This window comes from Homo sapiens, chromosome 4 (genome assembly GCF_000001405.40).
Source record: "Homo sapiens chromosome 4, GRCh38.p14 Primary Assembly".
In the NCBI taxonomy this organism is placed as follows: Eukaryota; Metazoa; Chordata; class Mammalia; order Primates; family Hominidae; genus Homo; species Homo sapiens.
Window position 1 is genome coordinate 130,358,845 of NC_000004.12, and position 9,565 is coordinate 130,368,409.

Genomic DNA, 9,565 nt, shown 5'->3' on the forward strand with positions numbered 1-9,565 from the left:
ACCTAAGTGAACTGTGAAAAAAAACTTTACAATATATTTGAATTTAAAATCTTCAGTCAGTTCAATCATATTACTGACTCAATGACAGTGTCCTGAGCGAATCCATTATTTAATTAAGATTCTCTGCTCTCCAGAGCTTCTCTCAGTATCTTCAGTACCTTTAGGTTCTTGAAAATCAACCATATTTAGAAAGAAAACTTTTCATTACTTTTAACTGTGTTACTAATCCAACTAGATTTTAATTGTTTGTTTTCTTCCCTAAAATTTTTAAAATAAAACTTCTGGTAGGCACTCAATGATTTCATCTTGTTCTCCATTAGATCCATTATATTTGGTATTATTGGACACACAGTAGTTTTCCAGTAAATGTTGGTTAAATAAATGTACCAATTCCACCACCCCCTCCTCCCAACACAGTAAAAGATAAAGGAGAAAGGTAATCTTTCTGTGACAACACAGCAGGCATTTTCAACCACATATGTGCTAGATAGGGCAGAGGAAACAGGGAACTGAGGAAATGCTACGGCAGCAAGTCAAAAAACATGACATGAATGGTCACTCTAATGGTATCAGTAAAAATACAAACAAAAAACCAACAAACCAAAAATCTCCACATTTTCGGAGTTAGAACTTAAACATATTCAGGATTGGAGAGGTGCATTTAGGCAGCTTCGACATTGTTGATATTGTTTAATTCTTAATTTGGATGATAGGTTCATGCTTAGTTTCATATATGCTATTTTATTTTGTATGTGTCATATAGTACAGATGATAAACTTTTTAAAGAAAGAAGCCAAAATATTCTAATATTTTGTACTTTAAAGGCGTATAAGTAATATATACCCCAATTTAGGCCTGAAATTTTTCTCATTAAGTAGAAAGTCACTGTCAGAAGGTGGCAGTGTAGTACTTTCCTTCCCAAATGAACGAAAATAGTTTAAAAATTACCAAAATGTAGCCTTTTCCAGATGCAGGCCTCAGGGCCACATTCAGTCCTGCAACTCTCTCCTCATTGCTGGGGATGTCTCATTAGGAGATTAACTGTTTAAAATGCAATGCTAATGTGAAAGTTTTAATTGGGAAATTCTGTGCATGTTAAATTAATCTTTCTTAGGTACTTTTATCTAGAATTCGTGTTTCTTTTCTACAATGTTTAGCCTTTCTGAATGCTGCACATTATTTCTCTGTGGAAAATAAATTGTATACAGAATAATAATGTCCTTTAATATTTTAGATATATATTAAAATGCTGTTCAAGTTTCTTCTGTAATCACTTAATGCATAGCTTTAGCATAAACAAAATCTACATTCTTATCCACTTATTATGAACTAACAATCTTTGAAAAATATAAAAAAGGAGTTGATTATGGGAATATGGAAGAGAATGAAGAAGTCAAATTTGGATCTCTGTTAGACAGGGAATGAGAGATACCTGGTTGTAACATTTATTAGAAAAAAATGACGTATGCCTTTATCTTAAGAATTAACATCATATTGATATTAATATGAAATAATCAGAAAAAAACATGGTTTTGTAATGAGTGATGTCATAATTATTTAAATGATTAGCTTTGTTGAAAATATATATGGGCACAAATACATGAATAGGATTGTATTTTCTAATTTCTAGTTAAAATGTAATCTTCATAATGTATTTAATTGTCATATATATATACACACACATTTGAATAACTTATGATGACTCTTCAACCAACAGACAATTAAGTTTTAAAACTATAAAAGCACATTTTGTTTTAAGATGGTTTTAGCTACTCTGATCTCAAGAACATACAATTTATAATTACATAACTGTAATTTATTGGCATTAAGAATATAAAACATTGCAGGAGATTGAGACCATCATGTCTAACATGGTGAAACCCTGTCTCTACTAAAAATACAAAAAATTAGCCAGGCATGGGGGTGGGCATCTGTAGTCCCAGCTACTCTGGGACTGAGGCAGGAGAGTCCCAGAGACTGAGGCAGGAGAATGACGTGAACCCGGGAGGCGGAACTTGCAGTGAGCCAAGATCACACCACTGCACTCCAACCTGGGCGACATAGTGAGACTCCGTCTCAAAAAACAAACAAATAAATAAAAGAATATAAAACATTGCATGAAATAATTAATCATTCATGTTTGTGTTTGTTAAGAATTGCAGTCACAGGGATTTTTATTTAAATTTTTCTTAAGGTAAATAATAAACGTTTTTTAAAATACAAATTTCATAGAGCCTAAAACTTAATCTGCAAATTATTCATACTGGTCAGATTCTGAAAATTCTTGTCTAAAAGTTTTATAATAGATGGGAATAAAGGAATACTATTTTTATTTTGTTTTGTGCTATTTTATTTCTTATTATAGTTCTACGAATGGACCATTTTTATGGATGTAGTCAAAGATAACATTGTTTATGCCTTCTGAGAGTGAAGTCATCAGTAAACAGAATAAAACAAGTAATTATGCACTAGTCTTCATGCTACCTATAGGACATATTAGGAGGAATAGGAACAATAGAAAAATGAATCAGAAGAAGCATATATGTGAAGTATGAATCTTCAGTTTCAGCATTAGTAAGGTCCCTCTTACTAATGTAAAATAAATCTCTTATGTAGCTGCAAGCCTCCTTTATACCATTCTGCATTTGATTAGTTTCTTGAACATGCATTAATAGTTTTGTTTGTAGTTATTCCTCTGAAGTCTGAGACCCAAAAGAGTAAAGTTAATTCCTAGAGATGATGATAGCACTTGAACTAAAGGAGATCAGCACCTCTGCTTTCAGCTCTGCTCTGCCAATGTCTCTTGTCAACGTAGGGCTCTTCATTTTTTCTAGCCTAGCAGGACACATTGCATCAACCACGGCAACATTGATATGCAAGGTATAGCCTAGCATCTAGTGACACGCCGTACAAGACAGCAAAGTTTATCTTCTAAGAGATTTTCTAAATTGGCCCATGAGATTTGCAAGTCTGAGATAGACTTGTCTACTCTAAACCAGAAAGCATGCAAAAAACTTCTAACTTCTCTGTTACACACGCCACCTGCCACCTGCCAGTAATCATTCAAGGGTTTCAAAAGTTATTTTTTCCACTCATAGAGATTTGTAAAATCATTTTTCAGAAACACATGTAACTACATCACAGAATAATTGATAGTTTAAAGGGATATGCAATGCTCATTTTCAGTAGTGATGTGATGTTTCGTTTTTTTTTTTCCTTGAAATTCTGAATATTAGTCTAGAGAAAATGGAGGAGGGAATGTTCTTTTAGAAACGTGAGCAAAGTCAGATAAGTATTTTATTCTTTAGCAATAAAAACATTACATTCATGACTAATGCCATCTGTTCATGGGCTTATTGGTTCAGAACAATCCAAAGGCGATCATATATCTACAAAATGTCCTTGAATGCTAGATTTTGTCAACTGTTTTAGTTGCCAGATTTGAGGAAGCACAGTGTTCTTCACTGCCTCTCTGGTAGCACAGCTGCAGCCACTGAGGAACATGAATTAGTCTAGTTAAGGTCAATATTACCTTATGCTTATTTCAAGCAATAAGTATTATGCCCGAAATATAGTCTACAGCTATACCTTAAGAATTATATTTATAATAAATGTTATGGACTTAATATTTGTGTCCTGCCCATTCCAGATTTATGTGTTGATATATTAACCTCCAATGTGATCATATTAAGAGGTGGAGCGTTTGGAAGGTAGTTAGCTCATGAGGATGGAGTGCTCATGAATGGGATTAATGACCTGAAAAAAGAGATCCCAAAGAGGCCTCTTATTTTCTTTCTGCCAAGTGTGGGTACAATGAGAAGTTGGCAGTCACCAACTAGAAGAGAGCCATCACCAGAACCTGACTGTGCTGGCACCCTCACCTTGGACTTCCAGCCTCAAGAATGATGACAAATACATTTCTTTTGTTTAGAAGTCAGCCAGTCTCTGGTACTTTATTATGGCATCCCATCCTAAAACAATAATGTTTCCTCAGATTTTGAGTTTTCCTTTCAATATTATGCATATATATATTGCTGAGAAATCATAATAATTTTTTTAAGCGACAAGGTCTCTTTTTATTTAAGAGACACAGTGAGCTATGCCACCTGGGCTGGAGTGCAGTGGTGTGATCATAGCTCACTGCAACTTCAAACTCCTGAGTTCCAGTGATCCTCCCATATCAGCCCCATATCCCAAAAAGCTGGGACTATAGGTGTGCACCACCACACTTAGCTAAGTTTTATTTTTTTTAATTTTTTTCTGGAGACGGGGTCTCACTATGTTGATCAGGCTGGTTTCGAACTCCTGGCCTCAAGCAACCTTCCCACTTCAGCCTTCCGAATTGCTGGGATTATAGGCATGAGTTATTGTGCCTAGCCAGAAAACTTCCTAATAAAATGTTTGTGTTGTAATGTAGTTCACTGTTATGGGATCAGTTATCCTTTTTTTCTTTTCTTCAATGATTTTGAATTGTAAGTAGAGAATTAGGTCACCATGAACTTTTAAGGGGCATTGTTATACTTTTATTTTGGACATAGGTTTTGGTTTATAATAGCTAGCATAATGATGCTTTTCACTAACTGTGTTATTAGAATGGTTCATGTAAAAAAGCCACGATTCCAAGAGACTATTTATTAATAGTTGTTAAATAAACTCTTTTTGAAAAGAGCACAGTTGACCCTTGAGCGACATGGGTTTGAATTGCGTGGGTCTACTTATATGTGGATTTTTTTCAATAAATATATTAGAAATTTTTTTTAGAAATTTGCAACAATTCGAAAAATCTTACAGATAAACCGTGTAGCATAGAAATATAAAAACATAAAGAAAAATGTATGTCATTAATGCATCCAATACATGTAGATGCTAGTCTTTTTATGTGTTAATCAACTGTTAATGTTATTGGTAAGGTTTCCAGTCAGTAGTAGGCTATTAGTAGTTACATTTTTGGGGAGTAAACATGTATACACTGATTTTTCACTGCCCAGGTCAGTGAAACTTTCAGTGCTCTAATCCCTGTATTGTTCAAGGATCAACCATACATTTTCTTATTATTTATTTCACAGTCATCTGAAGATAAAATTAAATGTTACATAATAAGTAAACTACTATTATGAATAGATACGTCTTTACCATTTCTCAAATACTAAGTTTTTTTTTATGATTATACATATTCTACCTTCTGGCTTTAAGAGATTAAAAAATGAGTGAGACCTATATCCCTTTTCCACATATTTTAGGTATGTAATGATGTTTGTTTAAATACTATTTAATTCCTATGATTTCAAAAAATTGATTTAATATTAGAAAATGACATCTTTGCACTCTTTGGAAATACATTTAAATTTTCTGAGGATTTCTCAATGCTTAGTTTGATTAAATTATTGCTGAAATCATTTCCAATCACAGAGTATTTTAAATGAAGTTTTAAATTTTGGACTGATTTTGGTTTTAGCTGTATTTGCGTCAAGTTTCCATCTTTTACAATATCAAGAATATCAAGGAAGGTGAAATTTTTCTGAACTCAAGCAGAGTCATGAGTCCAAACTAAGGCTTAATGATCCCTGTGGGAGGCTGAATAATGGCCTTGCAAAGATGTCCAAGTCCTAATTTTCAGAGTCTGTAATTATGTTGTTTGACATGGCAAAAGGGACTTTACCAATGTGGTTAAATTAAAAACCATGAGAAAGGGAGATTATCTTGGACTATTCAGTTACCCTCAATTTAATTATGAGGTCCCTTGTAAGAAAAGGTAAGACAGTCAGAGTCAGAAAAGGAGATGTGATGAAGGAAACAGTTTCACAGTGATGCTACTAGAAACCAAGGAATGGAGGTGGTCTCTAGAAGTTGGAAATGAATTATTTCCTAGAGCCTCCAGAAGGAACGCAGCCTTGCTGATACCTAGATTTTAGCCAGTGAGACTCATCACAGAGTTTAGACCTCTAGAACCAAAAGATAATACCTTTGTCTTGCTTTAAACCATTATTACATTGTGGATTGTTACAGCAGCACTAGGAAACTAATACAATACCTTCAAATTCAACTTACAAGCAATTCATGGATAATATCTAGCCACATATTTCCCTTCCTCTTTTAGACATATTTTATTCTAATACCAAGCCCTGAGAATAAATTGTTCTGCAATTGATATGGCTGACAGAGTCCTACATATGGAACCCTTCTAGCAGGCTGCTTGTCCATCAGCAACAAAGTGATCGGGAAATGAAAATGTCAATAGTCACTAATAACCATGTGATTTTACCATTACATTTACAGATGAATTTCCCTTAGTTGCCCATGTCATATTAAAGATATTGCATATTAGCAGAGAAGGGGATGTGGCTAAGTATGTTTTTAATCTGTGGAATACATTGAGTCTTCCAAAAGATACTAAAGACATAGACAGCTCACCTAGTACTCTTATATTTATTGTGTCTCTAAAAGGAGAGAAGTTGAAAACTTCTTCAAACATACAAAGTCAAATATTAATCCTATCCAGATACTATTTCTCCATCTTGACTTCCCCTCATCAACTGATTGTTTCTATTGTTTCCTCTCAACAGCAAGGTCCCTTCCTCTTTCTACATGATTACTGCAGAGGTTCAAGAATGTTCCTTTCATAAAGGCAGCACACCAAAGTAAAATATAAATTATGTAAAATCATAAATGTAATTATATAATTTAAATGGAAAGAACATATAATAACAAGATATGCAAGTGAATTGGTAATATTGAGAAGGAGGTAATATCTTTGAAGTAAACAATTTATATGAGTGTCACTTTCAAAGGGATTTCTTACTGTTTTGTGGTTTATTTTGTATGTTTTATTTTTGTTTTTTCTCCCATTTCTAATACAGACACAAACAATGTTTTAGGGAAATCACAAGGTAAGATTAATCTAGTTCAGATATTACCTGTTTTTTGCCCTTTTGGCTATTCCTAGTCTGAACTTTCATACTTATAAATTTGAAACAATATTTTCGGGACTACAGCCTCAGTTATTTTTACAACTTATTCTAGAGCTCTGTCGTCTCTGTGAAAATGCCCCCCAACCCCTAGAACAACAAAAGCAAAAAAAACCTAAACTATGTAAGTAAAAAGACAAATCTACTTTTCACCTTTTGTGGTATATTTAAGCTCCAGAATTTATGCATGCTATGTGGACAAATTCCAAATCTATATATACGCCCATAATGTTCTACCTACAGTCTTCCATTCTCACTTGCCTTTGGGATGACAACCTTGTCTCTTTACTTGTGCCCTAGGTAATTCTATTAAGTCCCATAGCTTAAGGTAAATTATTATCCTGATGATACTTACAGTTTATTTCAAGACCTTACTGTTCTGATGAATTCATGTATTCAACTACCTACTTGCCATCTCCGTTTGGATTTTTAATAAATATCTCAAAGTAAATATGATAAAACAGAGCATTTGATTTTCCTCTCAGACCTGCATCCCCCTCAGTCCTCATCTCAGTAAATGTCACCACTATTCACCTGATTACTCAGGCCCAAATCCTAAAATTTATTATTGATTCCCCATTTTACTAAAGTTTGCATCCTATATATCACCAAGTTTTCTTCGCCGAACCTAGTGATGTGGTTATGTTTCATCACCTCCCCACTGTCCCTCTGGTTAAAGCCACTATAGTCTCCCCCATAGACTATAATAATAACCTCCCCTCCTGTATTCCCTCTTTCACCTTGCTTTCTTACAATGATTAGTCAATACAACAGTCAGAGCTATACTGTAAAATTTCAATTATATCATACTACATCACTGTTTGCAACTCTTCAATACATTCCAGTAATTAAAAATCAAATTCAAAATGCCAAACATGTCCTAATGGGCCTATAAGATTTTGTTCCAATGTACTTCTCCAACATCACTCTCTAACTCACTCATTTTCACTTCCTTCACTTATCTCTGTCTCTTTCTATTCCTCATCTTCTCCTCTGATTCTGCTACTAGGAATCCTCTTCCTCATGATATTTACATGACATTCCCTCATACTTCTAGCTTGTTGAATAATGGACATCTCATCATTTATCTCAACAGAGAATTTTTTCTCTACAACCCAATCCTATTTATATGGACACACAGACACACACATAAATATGTATATATAAAATGTGTTTATATATTTAATTAAATCATTAAATAGCCAGATTTGTGTGATAATCCTAATATTGAACTATAGTTTAATTTTATTCTAAGTTTCTTTCTGATTCAGAAATGTGTTCTTTGAGTAGAATTATACAATAGAAGTGAATGTCATGAAGAAAACGACTCATTTATTATGCTGGAAATACATCCCATTTTAAATAAATGCATTGATATAAGAATTAATATCTTGAGAACCTGAACATTCATAGGTTAACTAATAACATTGAGGGTCTAGAATTGCAAAGTTGATTATTAGACCTAAATTCTCTATTAAAGGGCCAGCCTGAATAGTAAATTGTTTTTCCAACACTAGACATTTGAACCGAGAGAAAATAATGTAGTTGCACAAATGAATGCTATGTATTTCACTTTTCAAAATCAGTAAATCTGTATGTCATCATAAGCTTAATGACTACCTTAAATAGCCACAACAAGCTAGTAAGTCTGGTCATAGAAAAATACCCATTTTTAATCATCAATATAAAAAGATCTAGCAGCTCTGTCTGTAATAGAAAAATTAAAAATTACTTTGAGAAAACAGTTGGCTTAGTTGCACTAAAGCTTGCATTTTTTGAATCTTTTTTTGGCTTAGTTCTAATTCAATTGAACTTCAAATTATCAACTATTATATTGATATTTTCAGTTACTTAATTAAAATAACAAGTGCAGAAAATTGCAATTAATGTCTCAAATCAATGAATGTTAAATGCCCCCAAAGTAAAAATATTCATAAATTCAAAACCAAGACTTATGAATAATAAATCAACGCTACACAAAGAAGTTGGGCATTTAAGTTTTCATGATCCTTAAAAATACTCTTGGTATATATATGTTATGAATATCTAAAATTATTATTATTTCTTAGCCACATTACTATGGCAGGTTAGCAAGATTTAAGGTTTAATCAGACAAACACGTTTTACCATAAATGATGTGTAGGTTATTAGAGCAATTTCCCATTTAGTTTATCCTTTTTGACAGGAATCAGCCTTCAGTTCAGTCCAGAATAGATATCCATTAGATTGCCATGATTTTATTTCATACTACTCATTCTACTGTCTGTCATTCAGGCATATTCTCTTCCTGAAAAATATCCAGTTTCAGAGTCATTTAATGATTTAAAGCAGCTGACCCTTTATGTAATAAGATACATTTTACTGGGCATCAGGATAAAGCACTTGGGGAGTGATGAAGAGGCAAAACAAGATACTCTGTATAAAGAGAGAGAATGGGATCTGAGAATCTTCAAAATTTGTCACAAATAGATATAGAAACATAACTGATCACAGCACTTGCTTTTAAATAAACCAACATCTTTACCTCTTGCTGCACTCTATGAAAGGCGGTATGTTATATCAACAAAAAGCCTGGGTTGTAAAGCCAGAACAACCAGAGT